This window comes from Homo sapiens, chromosome 2 (assembly GCF_000001405.40).
Source record: "Homo sapiens chromosome 2, GRCh38.p14 Primary Assembly".
NCBI lineage: Eukaryota > Metazoa > Chordata > Mammalia > Primates > Hominidae > Homo > Homo sapiens.
The window spans coordinates 2,929,419-2,955,048 of NC_000002.12; the positions used below are offsets into that span (position 1 = coordinate 2,929,419).

Sequence of the window (25,630 nt, forward strand, 5' to 3'; positions counted from 1 at the left end):
GCAGCATGATGATGGACTAAACCACACACCTTTTGTAATTGTCCCATAATTATTTGATTTTTTTTATGTTTTTCATGTTTTTTTCTTTTTGCTTTTCATTTTAGGAAGGTTCTAGTGACATATCTTCAAAGTCACTGATTCTTTCCTCCACTGTATAGTCTACTGATGAGCCCATGAAGACATTCTTCATTTCTGTTACAAAGTATTTGATTTCTAGTAATCCCTTTTGCTCCTTTCTTAGAGCTTCCATCTCTGCTTACATTACCCAACTGTTCTTGCATGCTGTCTACTTTATCCATTAGAGTCGTTCAAATATTTATCATAGATGTTTTAAATTCCAAGTCTGATAATTCCCAAATCTCTACCATATCTGAGTCTGGTTCTGGTGGCTGGTTTTTCTCTTGAAACTGTGATTTTTGCCTTTTAGCATGCCTTGTATTTTTTTCTTGAAAGTGGACATGATGCATCAGATAAATAAACCTGACATAAATAGTTTCTTACCTTCAGTGTGAAGTTTTATGTTTGTTTGTCAAGGAGTTGGGCTGTGATGACTCTAATATAGCTGCAATTTCAGAGGCTAAATTTTTCTCTAGTGTCCTTGTTTTTGCCTTTGTGGTTGTCTGTAGGTTTCCCTAGAGTCTCCTTCTTAGATAAGATCTGAGGCACACCGTTCTTTTCAATGTAATCTCCTGTTATTACACAGAAGCCTAGTTGATATCATCATAAGGTCTCAGGAGGAGAAGCCTTCCGTGACCCTAAGATGAGGTCTCAGTCTTTTAGTGAGTCCATGTTCCTGGACTGTGACCTTCACAAGTGCTTCTTAGCCTTTTTTTTCCTTTTTCCACCCCTTAGGTGTGACAGAAAGGCTGTTGCCAGAGTGGGCTGGAGTTTTCAATGGGCTCAGATAGTTCTTTGAGTTCTGAAAGCAGCCTTCTCATCATTAAAATGCTTTCTTACATCATTAAACCCAATCCCTCAAAGAATTCTTCTCTCCTTCCATCCTCCCTCACACCCACAACTGCAAAAGGTGCCATAGGCATTAAAGTCTAAGTGTGTCCCATCAGTCAAGCTCTGACATTGCACTAAGTGACAAATCTCCTTGGGTCTTCTCATTGTGCTGAGGGAAGTCATGGGTTTCTGATGTGAGCCAGAGTAGCTGGTCCAGTACAAACACCAGACTGTCAGCAAACTGAAGTTTGCTGAGCACCTTCCCTCTCTCGCCATGGGGTTGTTGTTTTTCTCAGTATAGGGGATGTAGATTTGCTTCTAATGCTCCCCACCTGAACTCAGGGTAAAGCCATGAAGTGCAGGCCCAGGAGGGAACACACTTTCCCTTTCGATTACACTGTTAGCTTGCCTACCATTTAGTTGTGTGCAGAACTATTCCAATGGACTTTCATTCCTATATTTCTGTGAACCAGCCTGGTATTCAAAGGTCCAGACAAGTTACCTACTAAGTGGCTACTAAATTATCATCTCATGATAGCATCAGACATGCTCTATTCTTTACAAAGCAGATGCTTGTGTGTTATCTCACATGGTCACTTTTACTTCTGACAAGACCCACTGCAGTATCAGAGCCATGAACATAGTACATTTTACAGATTCCTAAGATACCAGGGCCAGGGGGTGAAGGGCTTGCCAAAGGTCACTAGCCCATGACAAATGACCTAGGCTTCCTGGCACTTGGATCCAGACCTCTGCGGCACACACAGAGTGAGAAACCACACACAAGCCTTCTTCCAAAGAAACTTCTCACTGAAAACACCAGGTGAGCCTCGGATGATCACTTTTTGGAATTCAGTGGATAATCAGGGCAGTCTGTTTCTCTCACTGGGATACATGTTGGGGTCAGGAAAATAGAGAAGCCATTCAGTGTTGATGAATGTCAGATGGCATCATACAACTCACCACCAACCATTTCTATTTTAAACTTGGGAAAAACATCATGGCAAAGCACCGTAAGTCCTATTGGCAGACAAGGTAATTTATTCCTTGATACATCAACATTACTCTTTTGTTATGGACACTGTTATTTTTATTATGGGAAACGGGTAAGTTATTAAAAGCCACTTGTCCATTTCGATTTATTCAGACTGTTTCCCCAGGATCCAGACCAGCCAGGGCTGACTCATCATCCAGCACAGGAGGTCCAGGGCTTAGGGTCACGGTATTTGTTAACTCAGAAGACTAAAAAAGATTATTAGGTTGGAGAAAGTATTTTAATGTATCATATGAATGTTTCTCTTTATACCAATGAAGTCATAAATACGATTTTGGCTATTTTTATTTTTATTGAAAGTCATACTGCATCCAGCATCTCCCTGATCTCTGGTGCCTTCCTAGGATAACCAGGGGGCTCCCCGAATGAAGCATTTTTGTTTGCCCAGCAGTGACAGGAGTGGCACGCCCCTCCTCACCCCAGAACTTAGAAGGCCTAATTTCCTGGTCGGTGGCACTCCTGCCCACGGCATCGCTGTGGGAACAGTAACCAGCAGCATTTCACTGTGTGTCTCACGGACCACCCAGGAGGTCCTGTTCTGTTCCTGCTACTCAGCATGGGTGGGTGGGTTAGAGGTGGAAGGGGAGAAGAAATGAGAAAGAGGGGCATGAATGGCTGTTTGGGCAGGAAAATCCTGCTGTAGGAGGACGATGACTTCCAAGTTTCTATGCAGCTGTTTACAGAGACCTTTGAAGTCAGAACTGAGAGTGTCCATGGTGCCAGTCTCACAAAATTCTGCAGCAGGTGAAGGCCGGAACTAGAGTTTTACCTTCACTGCTATCATTCCAGGGGCACAAAACTCAGGCAATTACACATCTGATCATCCAAAAGAAAGAGTGACCGAATGTGGTCGCAGAACAGAAGCACCAATCCTTCAAGCCCCGGAAGTTCCACCCTGGCTGCCTGGAGAGAGGCCTCAACTCCCTGAGTTTGATTTCCCGCCTGCACACGGATGTCGAAATTCCCGCCCACAGAGCTGCTTCGCACAGCAAGGCCCAAGTCCCAAAGCTACGAATTGCACCACGTTTATCCAGAAATCCCCCGCGTTTTCCACAACACCCAGAAAATTGGTGGAACGAGTCAACATGCCAATGGGAGGAAAGTGGTTAGCACCGTAGAGAACACCAGGGAGGAAACACGCAACTGCACACCAGGGCTTTTTTATCTTGGCAAAGCCACAGATGATTCTTATGAATCAGGCCATCCTGTGGGGACTCCGTTTGCTAGAGACGGATCCGCCCCAGCATCACCCCCATTGGCAGAAACCAACCCAGCCAGAGTCCCCAGGCCTCGAGAGGATGTCTCTTCTGAGACCCCCACCATTCAACGTGCTCCCAAGCCACCCTCCCGTTATGGACAGCTCTGTGCAAACTCCTGTCAGAGGCAGCCTCATCAAAGTACTAAAGGCGAGGCGGAACCACAGCTTCACCCTGAGCTTCACATGTCCACATATGCCAGGAGCTTGTGTGTGTGCGTGTGTGCATGTGTGTGTGTGCATACATGCACGTGTGCACACATGTATATGTGTGCATGTACGTGTGTGCCTATGTGTGTGTGTATTCAACTAATTTCCACAACAACAGTAAGAGGTCAGTGTTGTGGCTGTGCCAGACCACACGTGCACCATCGTACTGTGGACAGCGTCCTGATGGGACCTGAGCCCAGACCCCTGCCTCTGACCCACGCCCCTTGCCCTGCACTGTGGCCGCCGTGTCGCTCACCAGCAAATTCCAGGGCTGGCTCAACTCCCGAGGCCTCTTCCTGCATAAAAGGATTAAAACTATGTTTTATGATTTCATTGTTCTTAATATATATTATTAAATATATTTCTATTATAGGTTTCAATATGTTCTTCAACTTAAAACTTTTTTTTGAATTTTTGCCCCTGGAAATAAGTGTGTTAAAGAAAGCAAATCATCAATTTAAAAAAAAAAAAAAAAGAAAGAAAGAAAGAAAAAACAACCTTATATAACAGAGCCTGAAACTAAACCACCATCCAGATTAGAAAAAACAAAAGTTCCAGAAATGATGCTGCCCAGGCCCTTGCATAAATCCGGCCCAGCCAGCACCCCCGAGGCCTGAGCCGTGAACACCTGCCTGCCGGGGCCACCATCCCCACAGAGCCGCTGGTGTCTGCCTCCTCTGCAGCCTGTCTGCACTGCGATGGCCTCTCACCCAGATGCTGAGCTGCTCCCCTCAGGGACAAGGGGATCTCACTTCACGCCTGTCTGACCACGTTCCACGGGGTCGTGATTGATGAAGCCTAGGGTGAGTCCGCCCACCGTCGGCAATGCTGGCCCGAAGCAGGCTGTGCAGGCCTCTGTCCTGAGACCTACCCTCCCTGGCTGGGGCACCAGTGTCTATCACACACGCCTCATATTCAGCCACCTGTTTTTCTCTGTTCAAGGCTAATGAGCTAAACAGGCCTGGAGCATTGTTTTGTACTATTGATCACATTGTGAACCACAAGTTCCTGGGCTGGCACAGGCTTCTGCAGCCTCCTGCGTGGGATTCGGCAGACACCAACGAGTGAATTTCGAATCAGCACCTCTGCTCATTGAGGGTCTCTCTCGCAACATTCACGCCTTCCCACTTGCTCCTCGCTGAGACCCCACGGTGGGAAAGCCAGCGATCTCCACTCCTGGCCTCCTCCTTTTGGCCTGGATTCTGCCTTTGAAATATTTCCAGCAGTCAAACATCCACTTTGATGACTGGCTCCCTGGACAATCAGTTTCTAGAAACTTGAGGCTACCCCTCCCACAACACCCAAAAGGCACAGTCTCACTTAGCTTTCTGACCTCTCTCCTTTTAGAAGCTGCTTTGTCTCATCCCCTGGTCTCCGTCAGAGCCTTCCTCACCCCCTCCCCTTCCTCCCCTTTCTTCCCTTTTGTGACTGTCTTGAGACCCCGTAAGTCCCTGCCACTATCCCCGCATCTGTCTGGGACTGGATGGAGAGCCAAGGACCTGCCATCTGCATGAGAGAAGCTCCTGGGCCACTGGACCTGATGGAATCATCCATCGCTGTGGCTGCCCTGCTCCTGCTCAGGCCTCTCTCAGCGGCACTCTGCGGGGAGGGAGGTGGCACATCAGGCAGCCTGGTGCTGGCTCTCCTCCTGTGCGGTGCCAGGCGATTGCTGCCCAGTTTCAGCCATGCGGATGTAATGGCAGTGCCCTTCTCTAAGCTTCATTCCTGAAGTCATGGGTAGATTTGTAGACCCCGCACTGTGGAACGACTCTTCATTCTCATGACACACATGTGAAATTACCTCAGTTTTGCCTGCAGCTCCCTGCACATAGTAGGTGCCCAGCATGCGGCTGCGGAATGAGGGGTGCACCATCCTTTGAGCTTCTCTAAGCTGTCCCACTGTGCGCACACAAAGACAACACAATGCTCATCGTTTGTCACCAGTCTTGAAAAGGATTTCATGACCCCAGCACTGCAGCCACCTGACTCATAACTCCACTTTGAAATGTCCTTTCCAAGTACTTTCTGAAGTACTTCCATTCTTCAGAAAGACTTGAGACTATTTAATACTACAGTGACCCTTAAACAATGCAAGACACAGGGGCACCGACCCCGTGTAGAGTGGAAAGAAAATCCATGTATAACTTTTGACTTCCCCAAACCTTTACTCATAGCCTACTGTTCACCAGAAGCCTTGCAAATAACAGAAACAGTCAATTAACACATATGTTGCATGCTATACAAATATATATACTATGTATTAAATACTATTCTTACGATAAAGCTAAAAAGAAAATATTTTTAAGACAATCATAAGAAAGAGAAAATATATTTACTATTCATTAAGTGGAAGTGGATCATCATAAAGCTCTTCATCCCCATTCAGTAGGCTGAGGAGGAGGCAGAGGAGGGGTTGGTCTTGCTGTCTCTGGGGTAGCAGGAGAGGAAAAAAATCCACATACAAATGGACCTGCCCAATTCAAATCTGTGTTGCCTAAGAGTCAATTGGACTTCTAGCATTTAACTCACACCCATTCACTGATAGGTTCCCTGCCCTGTTAAACTGAGAACTGTGAGCCAAAGGAGCCAAAGGTAACTGAGAAATTCTTACCCAAGCAGGTCGGTTTAGGAGTAAGAAAACCGAGGCCCTGAGACATGAGGTGGCCTCAAGGGTACCACAAAGAGGCAGTGGAGGCCTGGCCCCATCCAAGGCCTCTGCACACAGGACTCCGCAGAAGGTGTGGCCAACAGGGCCTGCTGATCCAGGGGACACCACCGCCGAGGTTAGGCCACCTGTCACCGACACAGTGACGAAGGTGTGCCCCTCACGGTTGTCTCCCACACAACTGGCTTAGATGGTCTTTCAGAAAAGTTCGCTCAATAAATTACATCTCCTCTTCCTCATGACACTGTCGTGCTTGAAGACCATGACGGTCAAAAATAAAACCGTTTCCTGGCCCCGTCCCATCCGACCTCACTAAACATCTGCACCAGTTTAGCTGCTCCCAAACTCCGGGCAAGGGAGAGGCAGGGCTTCCGGGAGGCCTGGGCTAGCGTGAGGAGGCGAAGGCTCTGCTCCTCCCTGACGGGCACCGTCCGCAGGACTGGTCCTTCTCTGGCCGCACGAGAGGTTTTCTGAGCTGCTCCTGCTGCCACTCGACTTGCTCCCAGAGGAGTAGAACCAAATGTGCATCTCGTGAAGGAGAGAGAGGAGTAAGTTCCTGGACAGGAAGCTGATTCTCAAGTCACAGCAGATGTAAACCGCTACTCACACCAGGACAAGGTGCTAATGTCGCGGAACTCCCACCTGGGGACTGGGAAAGGGAAAACGCTTCTTTCATGCTAACCTAGCACAGGCCCCGAGGTTCCGGGCTGTGATGGGGCCATGCAGACAGACACTAGTCTTTCCTTCATGGGCATTTCTGAACATGCCCTGAGGAAACGAATCTGCATGGGGATCACTGTAGGACTCAGACTCGGGCAGGTCAGTTAGGCAGGCCTGGCTTCCTAAGACTCCAGGCTTCAAAGCCTCGAACCTGCTCCCGTGCTGAGCTGGTTCCCCAAAGGTTCCTGCCTCTCACATTCCTTTCCTCCCTTGTCCCCAAAACTGTAAGGTGACGACGGGTTCAGGGGATATACACTCAAGGTGACGACGGGTTCAGGGGGTGCACACTCAAGGTGATGACGGGTTCAGGGGTACACGCTCAAGGTGACGGGTTCAGGGGGTGCACACTCAAGGTGACGACGGATTCAGGGGTACACACTCAAGGTGATGACGGGTTCAGGGGGTACACGCTCCAGGTGATGACGGGTTCAGAGGTACATGCTCAAGGTGATGATGGGTTCAGGGGGTGCACACTCAAGGTGAAGACGGGTTCAGGGGGTGCACGCTCAAGGTGATGGTGGGTTCAGGGGGTACACGCTCCAGGTGATGACGGGTTCAGAGGTACATGCTCAAGGTGATGATGGGTTCAGGGGGTACACGCTCAAGGTGACGATGGGTTCAGGGGGTACACGCTCAAGGTGAAGACAGGTTCAGGGGGTACACGCTCCAGGTGATGACAGGTTCAGGGGTACACACTCAAGGTGAGGACGGGTTCAGGGGGTACACGCTCCAGGTGATGACGGGTTCAGAGGTACATGCTCAAGGTGATGATGGGTTCAGGGGTACACACTCAAGGTGATGACGGGTTCAGGGGGTGCACACTCAAGGTGATGACGGGTTCAGGGGGTACACGCTCCAGGTGATGACGGGTTCAGAGGTACATGCTCAAGGTGATGATGGGTTCAGGGGTGCACACTGAAAGTGATGATGGGTTCAGGGGGTGCACACTCAAGGTGATGACGGGTTCAGGGGGTGCACACTCAAGGTGATGACAGGTTCAGTGGGTGCACGCTCAAGGTGATGACGGGTTCAGAGGTACATGCTCAAGGTGATGATGGGTTCAGGGGGTGCACGCTCAAGGGGATGACGGGTTCAGGGGGTGCACGCTCAAGGTGATGATGGGTTCAGGGGTACACACTGAAGATGATGATGGGTTCAGGGGGTGTACACTCAAGGTGATGACGGGTTCAGGGGGTGCACGCTCAAGGTGATGACGGGTTCAGGGGTACATGCTCAAGGTGATGACGGGTTCAGGGGTGCACATTCATCACTCCTCCTGCAGATGGACAGTGTTTCCCCACAGCCTGTGCAGTCGTGGGCTTTGGGATTTACACACCAGGAGGAATAATCTCTGATACATCAGGACTGGGCCAAGGTCTCATGGAAGTACCAGCACCTTGGAAACATTTTTATGACAAAATAAAACAAAACAAAAAGCTATGGCCAGGAGAGTGTGGCAAGAACAGGCATCTGAACACCTGGACCCAACACAGCTATGCAGGATGATGGCACCCAACCTGGCCCTCACAAGCTCCAGGGCAGGTGCCACCACCTGGAGCCACCTCCCTTTTTTTGAAACAGAATCTCACTCTGTCACCCAGGCTGGAGTGCAGTAGCATGACCTTGGCTCACCGTAACCTCCGCCTCCCGGGTTCAAGTGATTCTTGTGCCTCAGCCTCCTGAGTAGCTGGGACTACAGGCATGTACCACTACACCCAGCTAATTTTTATATTTTTAGTAAAGACGGTGTTTTATCATGTTAGCTGGGCTGGTCTTGAACTCCTGACCTCAGGTGATCCACCCACCTCGGCCTCCCAAAGTGCTGGGATTACAGGTGTGAGCCACCGTGCCCAGCCCCTTTTGTGTCTGATGCCCATGACTGAATTCATTTCTCTTTCTCTCGCATGTTCACGTCACAAACCGTCTCATCCCTGGTGAGTTACCTCCTGGGATGTATCCTCACTCACTTTCCCATCTCCATGAGACCCTGTCAGTCCGATGGTCTCTAGTCCCTCCCCACCTCCCAGGACCACCTTCCTTGCTGTATTCTAAACGTCCCGACTCCATCTGATGTAGGTGGGAATTTAGCATCTGCCCTCCTGCCCCAGGCCCCTCTCAGTAACCATGGACTTCTTGAAGTCCTCTCAGCTCCACGTCTTGCCTTTGCAGAAGGCCCTACCTCCACCACCCACCGCCTGTGGCCTCCTCTGATTCATCCACATGCAAATCACAGCCCCTCACTCGGCCCTTTTAGCACCCTGGATGGCTGGTGCTGCGGGAAGAGCTGGGGATTCCACCGCCGCCTGCCGCAAGCAAGCCCAGTCACCAGCAACGGGAAACCTGATGGCTTGCTGCTTAAATGAGGAAGCAGTGGCTTTCCCCATCAGACAAGAAGTCCAGGGAAGGCCCTTCAGGCCTGGAGGACTGCCAGGGCGCCCCGATAGACCAGACGGCCCTCCCCTGCTGGCTGCTCCAGGGCAGTCTCCGCAGTGCGGTCCCCCACGGCCAGGGCTCCTACAGGCATCAGGCCAGAGACCAGGCTGACTGTGCCAACGCACTCTGCTTTTCAGGCTTTGCATTTTTATTCAGGAAAAATCGTCCCCTTGGTCACAGGGATTTTCTCCCTTCATCTAACTGTGCAGAATTGGCCTCCAGGGCCAAGGCCGCTTGAAAAGAGCAACAAGGCATTCAGGCCTTTGCAGTGGAGAAAGGAGGATAAGAAGGTTCTGGGGCAGGTGGTCCATGCTGCTCACCATAGGCCCTCCCCGTCCCCTGTGTCCCACCCCTGGGAGCTGTGGAGGCTGCCTAGCTCCTTCCACAGGAAACCCCATTACTCTCATCTCTTCCCTTCACGCATCATCTTTCTAGATCCGGGAGACTCAAATATAGACCCCTTTACTGCACTCCTTTCTTCTAGACCATGCCTTTCTCCAACCGAAACACCACAACCATGTCTCCCAGGTCGCTTCTTCCACATCGCCCACATTGAGATGCAGGCCTCTCCCGCTCCAGGTTCTGCAGGCAGGAAGCTGCCATCTGCAGACTCCTCCCCTGCCCCGACTGCTAGGAGGACGCACCCCCTGCCCCCAAGACAGAGGCAGCCACATGGTGTTAGGGCAGTGATGGCATTGTTTTTCTCACTGTCTTAAATCCACATTTTCTTGATATCCCAAAAAAGGAAACTGAGGCACAAAGAAGTTAATGGCATGTGCGTGTCATATGGATAGGCTGATGGAGGAATTCCAGGGGAGCCAGAGGCAGGTGTCCCAGTCCCCTGCTTTCTCACGGCTCTGAGACAGCTCAGCGTTCAGCTCCACACCTTCTCCCACTCAGTCCTGGAGCCAGCAGACCGGCTCCTGGAACCATTTCCTTCCGTCTCTCCTCACACACCCACACTTGGGGCTCTTCCTCCTCCTTCCTGGGGTGCATATTTTTTAAATAGTCTCTAAATGCTGATAATATTCTTTCCCCTCCTAATCACCACAAAGAAAAAGAAAAAAAAATTAACACAGCACCTCCTTGAGGGCCCCTACTCCCAAGCTCTGAATGTCTTGCTGCCTTTCAATTGAGTGTTGGATACTCTCAGCTGTTTCTCTCCAACTTGCTTGAGAACCCATGACAAACGATAACTTGCTTTTGACCTTGGACGTCAGGCGCCACCTCCGCAGGGCTGGCTGCATGGGGACAACCTACGCAGGCCCCACCGCCCGCTCAGAAGGCCGACAGTTCTGCTGTCATTGTCGCAAATGTTTATTGAGGTTGTCTCTGCACTTGTGTTCCGCGAGAGAAATCAACAAGACAATGGAGGCTCGGCCACCCGAGATCCCACCACACGCCTCCCTGGGGTGAGGTCTGGACCACCAGCTCCAAAGCCCCAGCCATCCCCACCTGGCTGCCCTGCCCTGCTCTACCACCTGCTGTCATCCAAGCTTTGGGGAACCTCTGCCCGGGGGCCTTAGCATGGAGGGCCCACATCCCAGCCTGGGCGGGCGGCGTTGGGTGGGGTGACGCCTACTGTCACTCCTGACCCACGTCCTGAGCCTGTTTCCCCACCAAGGTGTAAAGATCCCAGGGCCACCTGTATGCTCTGGTTGGGGCTGTGGGCTGTGGAGGGGAAATGTTTGGCTCAAATTCCCCTGAGCCTGTCCCCTGCCAGAACACAGGGGTCGAGAGGTCCCCAGAGCCTGCCCCTGCCAGGACACAGGGGTTAAGGGGTCCCCAGAGCCTGTCCCCTACCAGGACATAGGGGTTGAGAGGTCCCCAGAGCCTGTCCCCTGCCAGGACACAGGGGTTGAGAGGTCCCCAGAGCCTGTCCCTGCCAGGACACAGGGGTTGAGAGGTCCCCAGAGCCTGTCCCCTGCCAGGACACAGGGCTCGAGAGGGCCTTGGGCACTTGTCAGGGTTCACAAGGATGCCGGTGCCTGGACAGCGCTCCTCACTGGCTCTGTGCCTGGGAGACCCTCCCTCCTTCAACCTCCCTGGCTCACTGCGGATTGATCTCTCCATGGCAGCCACGGGAGACAAGCCATGAAATACAAATTGTGTCACTATATGATTCTTTGTGCAAGTTAAATCCTCATATTTACATTTAAAACTAACTTTGCACAGTATGAAGACGAAAGGTAAAATTTATGCTGATTATTCAAATTTTTGTTTTTTTATTTAGAACTGCAGTAATTATCCAATAAAAACCTGCCTTGTGAAGAGCAAGACCGTGGAAGAAAGGAAAAAGCTTACCTTTCACCGCCGTCAAAGGTACTTCACTCTCACTTTTTGAACAAGGGGCCCCACAATTTCATTGTGCACGGGGCCCCGCAAATTGCAGAGCCGGCCCTGCTCCTCAGTGCACTAAGAGGGTTACCAAATGAACCAAATGAAAGCCAAGTCTCCCTCACGCTAAACAGCTGGTAACTGGCCCCCGCCATTGCCAAATACAAGGTTTTCTCCCGGCTAACACACGCTAGCAGGAGGCTCCTGTCCCTCAACTCCAGACTCTGTACTTTGCACCTGCCTGGTCCCAAGGCCCCAAAGCTGTCAGGTCAGGGAACATCAGCTCAGAGCAAGCTCAGCCTCGTCATGGCGGCAGCGGCTCATGCTCGGATGGGCTATGCTCGGCCTGATTAGATTGGCCCAAATGCTTTAAACATCAAACGAGCTGACCCCTGACATGAGACAGGTTGATTTATTATCCTGCCGGCGCTGCTGACAGCCGACACCAGGAGCCTGGCCCTGTCTGGTGATTTCTCAAGCTCTGGGCGCATGAGCGGCCCCGCATCCTCTAGCACATCAGCCCAGGCAGCCCGCTGGAATGCTAAGGGGCTCCTACCCAGGTTTGCTTTTTAAAGAAACTCAAATGAAGAAGCCAATCACGGGCAACAAGGAAAGTCTGCTGTGTGTGCCTGGAGATACTTACGGGCCACACTAGGAAAAGCAGGCAAACCTCAGCTAGAACCTGGCTGGCAGGAGGCTGGGGGTCACAGAGGGAATGAAGCCAAGGGGTGCTCCTGTCCAAAGTCGCCCTGCTTTCCCAACTGCCTGCCCAGCCACCTCCCTCTCACGTATTTCACAATGAGAATTTATTTCAGCATTACTAATTCAGAATTTATGTTAATGCGGAGTGGAGAACAAGCTCATCTGTAACCTTCATGATGAAGAACTCAGTTGCACAGACAGCACTGCAGAGGCCATAAGCCACCTGTTTACGGCCAAGGGTGGGGACCGCCCACAGGTACCTGAGAGCCCTGTACTTCCAGGCCAGCCAGCCATGCACCCATTACCTCAGCTTCTCCACTTCTTAAACCAGGTGCAAGGATTTCTCTTCGTTAAGTGTACACGAGCCCATCCCAAGTTTCCGCACATACCCAGGTGTTGGTGAAGCCCCACTTCATTAATTCAGGCTAGCGCCCACCAACGGCTGCAGCGTCAAGCCTCTGAGACATCAGCTGTCTGCTGTGCACATGGAAGTACTCTTCCTTAGGAAAGTCCTTTCCTCTTGAGTCTCAATGTACCCAACTTTTAAGTAGGGGGGAGGGGTTCATAAAATTCATTGTTCCTGGCTCGCAGGCCATTGGGAGGATTCACAAAATGATGTGCAACAGCTTGGCAAGATGCCAAGCCCCAGGGGCTTGCAGTTGTTGATGAGGAGGAGAAATGTGCCCTCCTCCCTGCTGTGGGGCCACCTCCTAAGTCTTCCTAGTTCTGGCTCCCTTTTTCCTCTGACCATTTGCCATCACTCGTTGTGGGTGCAGATGAGCTCCTGGTCTCCGGAAGAAAGTCTAAGATCCTGAGCGACGTGGCACAAACATAGATGCAGAAGCAAAGCAAGGTTCTGTCCAGCACTCACCAGGAGCCCAGGGCTGAGGCTTTGGCTAATCAGCCTCTTCATAACTTTTTTCTCTTCATAAACATGGAGGATCTGTGAGCCTGCACCCAGTCTCAGGGCTGAAAGGGAGAAGCACATGAAAGTCCTTTGCTCTGGGCTTGAAAGTCCAATGCTTACACTCCTAGGAAGTTGATAGGAAAGTAGGAACAAGGCCACCCTGCAGAGTTTAATTAAATGTTCAAGTCTATTTAGGCACTCTAAATAGGCACAACTTTTCCTAGATTTGGGAAAGGAGTAATAAACAAAGAAAGAGGAATAGTATTCCAGAAAGACATTCGTAAAGTCCTTTTAAAACTGAAATGAAATACTCTGGAACCAGATACTCAGCCTCCAGCAGGCAGCCAGACATATATCTCCATATGGGAGACTGGAAGGACCTCCTCTTGGGACTCTGAGTCACCAAAAAGGAAAGAACCAAGAAGCTGCAGAGGCTCTGCAGGGAAGCCCACGGTTGACCAACTCTGCTCAAGCTTTCAGAACTGCCAAACTGATTGCTGACCTGTCACTCTTAATCATGAGCTGATGGTCAAGGAATTCTAGACCTCAGAGAAGTGCTCCTAACGAGGAAGCCAGTGACCAGAACAATCCAACGGGAGCAAAAGCAACCTGTAGGAAGCAGAGACTATAATGGAAAAAAGAAACTTAAGAAGGAGACATTATCATTAATAGTCACCTATGAGAGAAGATACTGCACCCATATTGCAAGAACAGGATGCTCAGAAAGAAAATATTGAGAGAACTAAAAGAGCTACTAATAATTAAAAATATAAAGGCAGGCTGGACGCGGTGGCTCATGCCCGTAATCCCAGCACTTTGGGAGGTCAAGGAGGACGGATCACCGGAGGTCAGGAGTTCGAGACCAGACAGGCCAACGTGGTGAAACCTTATCTCTACTAACAATACAAAAATTAGCCAGGCTTGTTGGCACATGCCTGTAATCCCAGATACTTGGGAGGCTGAGAAAGGAGAATTGCTTGAATCCAGGAGGCAAAGGTTGCAGTGAGCTGAGACTGCTCCATTGCACTCCAGCCTGGGCAACAGAGCGAGACTCCATCTCAAAAAAAAAAAAAAAAATGCAGATTCTGGCTTCCACTTAAAATATAGAAAGCTAGATAACATCATGCCCACCTTTACTACAATACAAAAAAAGACATATAATCCATAGAATAATATCTTTACTTGAATCCAATAGAGAGCTGAAGTCAGAGTGAAACCAGCGAACCCAGATCCTAAGGAAACAGCTGTAGGGGAGCGATGAAACTCAAACACTTGCTTTTGGTGGGCAGCATAGAAGCTAGCAAGAAGAATTCAGCTGAAAGTCTGAACAAGTTACTAAACAACAAATGTGAGCTAGTGCAAGAGTATGGAACCACTGGAAGCAAAGAAAAGAAAAAAGGAATTCACACAAATTCATAGGTTCTTTTTTTTCAGGCTCACCAAGTAACAGAGGAGGATAAATGGCAGCCATTGTGGTAAAGAGAGGAAGTGCCCCTGGAAAAAAAGACCTAAAGCTTTCTACTCCAGAATGCAAAGAGAAGACCCACTACGCCTGAAAGAGGAGCCAGAATACCTTAGGCCAGAGTGTGAGACACCTGTACTGCTGGAGAAAGGTAGGATCAGGTTGAAGACCCCAGCCCCGAGATGCAGGGACACAGGGCCTACCAGAGACTGAAGCTAACCCAGCATGGGAAGGAATGCCATCACCCTCACCCCAGCACCAGGCTGGAGGCACCCGGTAACAAGGAAATGCAGTTGACTGCTGGGGAAGAATGAGGACAAAGGGGTGCCTTTCTGAGGTGCAGATGCACAGGGAAGATCTAAAGCTGAAGGTGGCACAGTCATTGACAAAAATCTCCCAGTAAATCCACCCTAAACAAAAGGGACCCCTAGAAGGCTGAGTGAGACACCCTGGGGGTGAACCTATCAACAACAAAATCCAAAGCAAGAGCCACTACTGACTCAATTAACTCAACTCCCCACACTAAAGGCATGGGGAAGGAAATTGTATGTTCGTTTTCAGATATAAATTCTATTTCCTCAAACTCTACTGTTCTGTGAAAAGTGTTCAAAACCTGTGAGCTATGCAAAGAAGCAAGGCAAATATACACATGCAATCAAGAGACAAAGTACACAATAGAACCAGATACAAATATGACCCTGGCGTTGAAACTATCATATGGCAATTTAAAATAACTATGAAAAATATGTTAAAAGTGCTAATGTAAAAAGTGGGCAATATGCAAAAAGAAATGGGGAAATTCAGTAGAGAGATGAAAACTCTAAGATAGAATCAGGCCAGGTGTGGTGGCCCACACCTGTAATCCCAACACTTTGGGAGGCCGAGTTGGGCTGATTGCTTGACCCCAGGGGTTCGGGACCAGCCTGGCAATAGAGTGAGAACCCATCTCTACAAAAAATACAAAAATTAGGCATGGTGTTACACACCTGTAAGTCCAGTTACTCAGGAGGCTGAAGTGGGAGGATCACTTGAGCCTTGGGAAGTCAAGGCTGCAGTGAGCCATGATCATGCCACTGCACTGCAGTCTGGGCAACAGAATGAGATCTTGTCTCAAAAAAAATTAAAAAATGTAAGAGTCAACTATAAATACTAGAAATAGTGGAAGGGAGGCTGCAATAAGCAGGAACAGAAATAGAGAATGTTTCTGATGGGCTCATCAGTAGTCTTGAGGCATCTCAGTAAAGAACCAGTGACTTGAATGTCAATAGCAATCAGCCAGATTGAAAGACAAAGATAAAACAGTGACAAAATAGGAAACAGCATGCGAGAGTTATGGGGCGATAGAAAATGATCTAGTATAGATATAACTGGAATCCCAGATGGAAAAAAGGGGGGCAGTGTTGAAGGAAAAATATTTCAATAAGTAATGGCCAAGGTTTTCCCAAAATTAGTGAAACATACCAAAAATACACAACTATTGAGCTCAAAGAAATCCCAGTGGGATAAATATCAACAAAACAAATAGACAAAAAAAAAAAAAAAAAAGCACGCACATGTTCAAACTGCTGAAAGCTACAGGTAAAGAAAACTTTTGAAGGAAGCCAGAGAAAAAAGACACATAGCATACAAAAACAAACAAACAAACAAAAATTACAATAGACTTCTGTTCAAAAACTATGCAAAGCAAAAGACAATAGATTACAATCTTTAAAGTGCTGAGAGCACAAAGAAAAAACTGTCAACCTGGAATTCTATACCAAGTAAAAACATCTATCAAAAGGACAGAAAAATAAAGGGCTTTTTCTGAGACAAAAACTGAGAGAATTAATTGCCACAAGATTTTATCTGTAAGAAATATTAAAGGGAGTTCTTCAAGCAAACTTAATCTGAAAATGGCAAACTTAGATCTGCCGACAACTGAAAATGGCAAAAGTGAAAGTAAATTTATAAAGGATTTTTTTCATTTTAATTGCTCTAAAGGATAACTGACTGTCCAAAGCAAACCTAGTATCCATGCATTGTCAGTTTATAACATATATAAAAATAAAATATAAGGCAGTAACATAAAATACAGGAAGAAGAAATCAGGAGTATACTGTTGAAATATCTTACACTACAAGTAGAGTGGTATTATTTAATTGGAGGGTAGACCATGATTAATTAAAGGTATAGAGATAGATTAGATAGATAGATAGACAGACAGACAGATAGATATAGTAAACTCTAAGGAAAACATTAAAATAAAATTTTTAAAGAGGCATGAAGAATAAACCAGTAAGAGAATTCCACTTTAGCCAAGGTGGGCAAATAGGAACTGGATTTACTCTCCTGCCTGAAATAACCAATGAATGCACAAAATATATAAAAGGGCAGTTGACAAAACACTGGACATCAGATGAGTGCCATGGTTTACAGAGATTGTTGGCTGTCTAACAATGATCCATGCTCCCTTTCATAATGTAAAGTTGCTACTGAAAAACAGCAGCCCATCCAGCAACCATATTTTCAAGCCCCCTTGTCTTCAAGGGGAGCCATGTGTCAAAGTTCTGGCCAAGAATGGCGGATGAGAATGATGCACTCCACCTCTAGCACTCATCGGGAATTCACGTCCACAGAGCCCTCCGCACTTTCTCCGCCCTTTGCAGTTGCACAAAGTTGCCTGGGGTGACTATGGGAGCCATGTGGTGATACTGATGGAGCTTCTGTGGGCTGATTCTGGAGCAACCAGAAGGATGGTGCAGAGCAGAGCCCTTTCCCTTCACTATCTCCCACACCACAGATCCAGCACTCAAGGCACTGCAAAGTGGATGGAAGCTTAGTCTCCACAGCAGCCCACGGCCCAACATCATAGAGTCTTACTGAAGGAGAAGCCAACAAGTGCATGGGAAAGCACCCATCCCCAGGGTCTCAAGGCACATGGGGCAAGGCTGCCATCCACGAAGGGTCAGTACTGGGCTTTGTTCCCAGAAACTGAGGCTGATGCAAGGGAAACCTGAAGTCAGTTATGACACCATGTCCAGGGAAGAGGAAGGAGCCCGGGGAGCATGTGCCTGGGAAGGACTGGAAAGGAAAGTGAGACATCAAGAGTCCCTGGCTCAGATGCAGCAAAGGCTAAGGTCAGATGAGAAAAGGGTAAGCAGAAGTAGCATTTACCTCCTGAACAGGTTTGGGACATTCAGACTGCTGGTCACTGCATGTCGGCAGCATGGTTCCTAGAGGGGTCAGTCCCACAAAGACCAGGTCAGGGTTCATAGAAAATTATGGCCAATGGATGAATACAGGACACCTGTTTGCAAATTGCTTATCTTTGTGGCACAGAATCAAAGCCAAATAGATGGCTGCTGCTGATGATGATAATGAAGAAGAATGATATATGATTGGTTGATAGGTGATAGATGGTAGATAGATAATTGATAGATGATAGATGATGAATGGATGGTGATAGATGATCAATAATAAATGATAGGTAACTGATAGATGATTAATTGGTTGACTGATGATTGATAGATTATAAATAGTAGGTAGATGGTTGATAGATAATTCATTGATAGATGATTGGCAGATAGTGGATAATAGATGATTGATAGATAATTGATAGGTAGATAAATGATGGATAATAGAGGATTGATAGATATAGACAGATACATAGAGATAGAGATAGATAGATAGATGGATAGACAGACAGACAGATGATAGATAGATAGTTACAAGGAGGAATCAGTGTGGAATACAGGATTGAAAAGATGAACTTTGGATTAAACGTGACCAGGTTCAAGTCCTAGTGCCTTCCCTGCCCCTAGCTGTGTCGTTTTACACAAGTCATTTCCCCTCTTAGAGACTGTTGTTAGACTAGATCTGTATTTTTTCAAACCATTTTCGGGCAAGTGGGATGAGAGATATGCAGTGTGTGAGAGTCCCAGACCCTTACCCAATTTCAACCAGAATAGTCTAGAGTTTTAGCTCTTTTATTAAGTTTCATGCATGATAATATTTTAAGAACCAGTTCCACTGCTAAAACAATTATTAAAAATACAGATCAGATCATCTCAAGGCCCTTACAAGGCTAAGAGTTTAAGGAATAGCTCCTTGGCCAGCTCCAGGTACCCCACGCCTGAAACACACCTAAGACAGAGACCCCAGGGCTGGGGGCTTCCCTACCTTCTGCCCAGAGCTGCCAGTGTCTCGTTCTTGTCACTGCTGCTTCCTGAGCCGGCTGCATCAGGTAACCTGGTGCCTGACATGTGGTGGTTGCCCAATAAATGCTGGATGAAGAATGGCAAAAAAAAAAAAGCCATCCATCAATAGTGATTATTGATTCAACAAACAGTTCCTGCAAACCTATTTACCCGGTAGCCTGGTAGGTGCTAGCGTTGATGAGAAGACAATTCTTGCCCCAGATGCAGTCCAGCAAAATGAGTGCTTACAATATAGTGGGAGGAATTCAAGGTAAAAACAAGATGCTGCAGAAGCCAACAGGAGCGACCCCCAACCCTGCAGGCTAGGCAAGGGGAGCAGGGAGTATCTGGAAGAGTGGGGCCTTCCTTCTTGAGGAGGGTACCCCAGGGAGGGTGGAGGAGCCCTAGGGAGTGGAGACAGAGGGCTGCGCCAAGGAAGCCAGGTGTGATGCCTTGGGGTACGGGGAGCACAGGACTCTGAAAACCCATAAATCACGCCACGTGGTTGGGGCACAGGTGTGGGTCCCAGAGAGGAGAGGGGAGCTGGAGAGGTGGGCACAGCCCAGAGCACTGGAGATTAGGCCAGGAGTGAGATTCGCTCTACAGGGATGGAACCCAGGGAAGGCTGCATGACCGGAGCACGGTCAGGTAGGTCTCTGCTAAAGTACACCCTATCCCCACAGGACATCTGGACCTGAGAGGTCGGGTGAGAGGCTAGGCACTCCTCAACAGGGACAGCAATAGCCCAGATGGAGAGGACGGCCGTGGCGGTGGAGAAAACGGGTGGATTCAAGAGATACTAGTACAAATAATTCATTAATGCATCATTTATTTCGAAATAAAAAAATCTGCTGATTGTAAGACCAACCTGTGTGTTTGAGAAAATCTCTATCACCAACTATTCTCTTTGTAAGCCTAAATTTTGTATCTCTTTAAACTAAATCAGGAGGATAAGCCTTTATTTATCACCCCAGTGGGGAATGAAAGCAGTTCCCACTTGCCCTCTTCTTTTGCTGCTTCTTCTCTTTCTTTTAGGCCGAAGAACTATTCTCACTAAGTGGACTGGGCAGCTGAGGCCCCTGTGTGGTGCGTGAATAATACGTGGGAAATGGAAGATGTGGTGCCGGCCTCTGAGGATACTTCAGCGTGGTGTTCGAATTGTACTCTGCGGTCTGCAGTGAGTACTGTGTAATTGGCCAAAAACAACCTAATCTCAAAGAAAAACAAGAAACAAGGAATGATTGGAGCTTCACACTGCTCAAAGACCAGCACTGACCTCAGCCCCACATTAAAGCAGGGTGAGGCTGAAAACTGAGAAACACGGAAGAAGCAAACTTCAATCCCACAAAAGGCAAAACCCCAGCGGGAAGCATGCAGGCTCTAGAGACAGGAGACCTGGGTGAAAATCCCATCTCCACGGCTTCCTCAACGCCTTCCTCTGTAAATTGGATGCAACGCCCAACTCCAGTGTGGTCTGAAAAAATTAGTTCAATGAGATAATAAATCTAAAGTTCCTGCTAGATACAGAAGCTTAACAGATGGAGCTGTGATTGCTTGTCCTCTGCACGGAACGGGGCTATTTTTCTCTGTGTTCTGAAGTATTTGAGATGCACGCCATGCGTGTTCTCTGAAACCATCTCCCTATCTAGAGGAAAGAGTGGCATGAAAGCCAGACGTAAACAATTTCCACCCTCTATTTAACTGACAAAGGCAGTTTTCTATTATGAAGCAAAGCATGAACATAATCCGGGCAAAATTGGATCCCTGGAGCTTGTAAACTCACTTTCAATTGATACACCAGCCATGGAATATCAGCTCAGCCGTGAGGTCCACCTTGCACCACGAAGGCCATGGTCTGACTGTCCCTTCTGCCTGACACAGAATGCCAGTGACATTAGCAGTTCTGGCAATAAACACCTTTAAACACACACACACACACACACACACACAAAATAAAGAAAGTGTCTATCCCACCCACCTTCCTAAGCCATGGTAAAGAGGACCGGGCTCCTCACAGCCACCCAGTGTGATGACTTTTCAGTGTGTATTTGTGTTCCAAGCCACTGCTGGTTGATTTTTCCCCTAGAACCATGCACACCTTAAAGATCTCAAAGGTAAAAAGCACAACTTAGTTATGATTCTTGCAGTTCTTGGCCTCTAAAGCCAGCGTTACTACTGTGTCATCAGGGTCCAGGTGCACTTTGGATGCTTTTACCAGTGAAGTTCAGTTCAACAAACACTTACTGAGCACCTGCTCTGGTCATGTGCCAGGTACCACCTTCGGTCTAGGCCACTTGGAGATGTAAGGCAGTATTTTAACCTGCATCACATTCCTACCAAGTATGCATTATTTTCTTGGCACACCGAAGAGGAAACGGAAGCCCTGAATGGTTAAGAAAGCTGCCAAAGCCAATAAAGCAGCCGTACTTGCATCTGAGTCGGCCTGACTCCCACACTAGCACAGTTTCCCACACGGCTGCCCCGCTCTTCCAGCAGGAGAGACAAGATTCACTGATCTCTGTGATCATCGTCGAAGATGCCTGATCACCCCTGTACATATGAAGCCCTGTCAGCATCTAAAGGTGCTCAATAAAGATCCAGATCCCCGGGGGAATACAGGATAGGAATCAATGTCCAGGCTTGTGCAGGTAGAGAGCAGGTGCCTACTGTGGTCTCAGCCATCTCATGGCTACAGGGACTTTGTGCCCCATAGCTGCAGGTGCAAATGACAGCACCTCTCTCCATAAATTCCTTGCTGATTAAAACAGAGATGTGACCTCGGGGTGATCCCCCTCCCATTCAGGTTCTCTGATTCTGTTACTGTTGACGCAGAGAGAAAGGAAATTAATGACTGTGCTGGAGGAAGGGGCACGGCAGAGAGCAACTGGACCCTCCCCCATCCTCCTGGGACACAGTGGTGATGGTGAAGACTGGTCCTCCAGGTGGGTCCACTCTGGCCTTCCGCGTTATCCTCAGGTCAGTGTGCACTGAGGACACTCAGGCCTGGCACACAGACCAGAAGCTCCATGGCAGAAGAGAGTGCCGTCTTCAGCACGTACTGCCAGGAGTCACCCACCCTGGAAAACTGTCCTTGTCCACTGCTTCATTTTGCTTGGAGTCCCTCTACCAGTGTGAAATCCATATGGATGTGCTCACATCAAATCTGAACTAATTTTTTCAAGTAAAATGTCATGAGGCTTTGTCACGTGCTTTTGTGGAGTCTAAATACAACTCCTTCTGAACACCCTCCAGCCACGCATTCTGCGGGCTCCTAGGAAATAAAGGGGTGAGGGAGGAATTTGTGGGGGGCAGCTTTCTCCAGCTTGACATTTGTCCCAAGCCATCCACCCATTGGTTATTCTGGAATCCCAAACACAGTAGGCTTCCCCACCACGTCTCTGACCCCATAAGGCCAAGGCAGGAGGCGGGTGATGAGCTGACGGGTCACACTCTGCCTTCCTGTAACAGCCAAGCCCACAGCCCCTTATAATAATTTTTAAAACTTAAAAACACATATTCCTGTTCAAGAACAACAGTCATCACTTAACTTGAGGAAAATCTGAAGATTTGGAAGTTTCGGAGTTTGCTGTCTGGACTCACCCAGGACAGTTCACCCTAGCGTTAGCCATCTTTACTGTGACACCCCCTCATGCTTCCTATCAGTCTGTTTCTCTCCCAGCTCCGGTACCCCCTGCACTGGTCCCCCCACCCTCCTCTGATTCCACAGACATCTGAGCTGAATGATTCTCCCTGGCGTGCTCTGGAATGTAACATCCCATTTCCTTTGTCTCTCCACATCGATGTCTGGCGTGGCCCAGCCCCAGAACGTCTGCACGTATGTGTACCTCATAATCACCCCATCACAAGGGGGCCTCCAAAGGCCTGGCCTGGGTGTCCCTGAAATCTCACCCTATGCTGGTCCTGTAATTGCATCATTTCAGGGTCTCCACAGACAGGTGATCCTTCTGCCACCACTTCTGCTCTGCTAGAAATTGCCGCCTTCTCCTCCTTTGCTTCCAGAGCCACGCTGACCCTCTTGGCTGGTGGGGCTAATGAATGCTGCCTGGATCACTCAGAGAATAGGCTGCTGGACTCATCAGAACTGTGATGGAGTAGCTTCCCACAGCATAAATTCCCACTATCCATCCCTTCCTAGTCCAACCCTTCCCCCAACACGCACATGCACACACACACACACACACACACACACACACACACACACATATCACAGACTGAAAAAGAAGTTACTGAAGCCAGATACATGTAAGAAGGAAGTAATAGAATGGTGTCAATCTATAACAAGCCCCTGAACATGAAAAGGCAATGCTTAAAGGGAGAGAGAGACAGACAGACAGACAGACAGACAGACACACACACACACACACACACACACACATCTTACCATGGACCAGGCAATTGACAGGGATTCCATGCTAATTGTCACATCAACCTTCACTTCACAAATGGAAAAACTGAAACTAAGAACGTGAGCGATTTGTTCAATACAGAATGTGTTAGGTAAACTAATATTCTAAGCCCATTCCATATGACTCCCACAACCCATGTGTTTTAACTGCACCTCTTCTATGAAATTCTCCTTGCTAAAGTAAGGCTTGGCCCCGAGGCATGAGTGACAGAACTGAGAGGTATAACCGAGAACTTTCCCAAAGGCACATCTGTGCCTCAAAATTCTGTAAAATGCAGGCAGGTTACACACGGTATTGATTACCTGAGGTCAGGTAATATCGCATTGTGTCCCAGCTTCTGAACTGAAGCTCCCCTTTCTTCATGATTTTTAATGATGGTGACTTTCATCTGCATTTTTAGTTATTTCAAAGTATTTGTATTTTCTATCTATTTAGAGGCCTGTTGAACCATGAACATGTTTTGGCCATGAATCATGAACATGCTTCATGTTAATGACGAGCACTTTTCTTTCAGCATGTTTCTCATTTGTTAATTCTCAAGCAGTATTTAAAGAGTATTAGGTGTTGCTTCTTTGATAAATGAAAATTCACTTAGAGTATGCCTACTACACTGTTTTGACTGCTACTAGCTGAGATCTGGTGTGGTAGCTGATATTAGAAGAACCCTCCTATGGAGAACAACACTAAAAACTGAACAATTTTAAAGCATTGGAAGATCGGAAATCAAGGAAGGTACTAGAAAAGTCAAGACTCCAGAGGGGGAGGAAAATGAGTTGATTTGTACTTTCTGTACAAATTTTTCCTCCATAGTCATTTCCCAATTTTTACTTTGAGGCATGAAGTCTAAAGAGAAAACTATGGCCTAGATCTAACAGAAGCCTTACTGAGTTGGGAAGATAAAACTGAAGTTCAGTGCCATCAAACAGCCAGATCCAAAAGAAAAAAGACCCCAGAAATAAGGGAAACACAAGAAAACAAACCAAATGTCTGCACGCAATTTCCTCCTGAAGCATTGGACCAGCTTTTAAACGGAGCATGCATGGAGCAATCAGCCAAGATACAAAACAGAAAGGGCCTACTAAGATGCTCAAAAGCTATGTAGATGTTTCAAAATTTCATGGAGCTGAAGAGACAAAAATTAGAGAGTATGTCCCACTCGGGTGGTGGCAGAATCTCATGCATGCTTCAAGCTTTCGATTGAGACGCAAAAATCTATGATTTTGGAACAAAATACATGAAATGTAAAATACATGAGATACTCTGTAAATGTCTAACATGCAGGTTCTTGGAAACCAAGAAAGGTAAAAGAGAAAAAAATCAGAGTGGAACCAATATTTGAAGACATGCTGGCTAGACATTTTCCAAAAAAAAAAAAAACGAGACATGATCCACAAATTTTAAAAGGTATATTACCTCTCTGCAAGGTTTAAAAGCAGCAAACACAATTTTGAAAATGCAATGCAAGTACTGGTTTTCTATTGCCACAAACTTAGAGGCATAAAACTTCATGCACGTATCATCTCACAGCTCTGTAGAACTGAAAGCCAGGCAGGGCTCAGTTGGGTCTTTTGCTCGGTTTTCACAAGGCTGCAATCCAGGCGTCTTCCAGGGCTGTGGTTCTCATCTGTAGCATGGGGACCTCATTTCAGTTCTTTCAGAATTGCAGACAGAATTGAATCCCACATGGTTTTGTGACTGAGGTCCCATTTTTTTTCCAGCGACTGTTGAAAGATCACTCTAAGTTGCTACGGGCCACTTGAACCTATAAGTAGTTCACAGCATGGCTTCTGGGAAACCTCTCTGCTTTTAAAGACATCATCTGATGTCTTTAAAAGACCCAAGTGGGATAATCTAACCATTGATTAACTCAATGCTGACTAACCTGGGGCCCCGACTACATCTGCGGAATCCCTTTATACACAACATAGCATGATCTCAGGAGCACTGTCTTATCCTATACGTAGGTCCCACCAACACTGAAGAAGAGATGATTACAAAGGGGTGAGGGTCATTGGGGGATTATTTTAAAATTCCACCTGCAAAAAGTCAATTCACATTATAGTAAAACTGCTGAAAAACAAGGAAAAAGAAAACATTAGTAAAACTAGTTAAAACAAAAGAGGAACATTTCCTTCAAAAGAGCAACAATGAGACTGACAACTACATTTGCAGCTTAAACAGAAGCCAGAGACAATTAAATGGCAGTTTTAGATGCTGAAAGAAAATATTTCCAAATTAGAATTCAAGACATAGCAAAAATAGCTCTTAAACATTAAAGTGAAATGAACATGTTTTTAGACAGAAAGAATTGAGAATTCATCACGAGTAGAACAAT

At 47.6% G+C, this 25,630-nt stretch overlaps 1 long non-coding RNA gene across 1 annotated transcript in view, besides 1 other annotated feature; it reads right to left on the minus strand.

Annotated features, from left to right (window-relative positions):
• The window catches only part of LINC01250 (long intergenic non-protein coding RNA 1250), a 230,979-nt gene that overhangs the window by 34,371 nt on the left and 170,978 nt on the right, over nucleotides 1-25,630 (minus strand). The gene's annotated exons all lie outside the window — the stretch shown is intronic.
• Nucleotides 19,397-20,596: an enhancer, noted in NCBI's record as "CDK7 strongly-dependent group 2 enhancer chr2:2952587-2953786 (GRCh37/hg19 assembly coordinates)". NCBI's record gives its function as "activates an origin of replication core promoter dependent on BRD2, BRD4, P300/CBP, MED14 and CDK7 cofactors, with strong dependence on CDK7, by STARR-seq in HCT116 cells {active_cell/tissue: HCT116}" and the evidence as "EXISTENCE:reporter gene assay evidence [ECO:0000049][PMID:35650434]".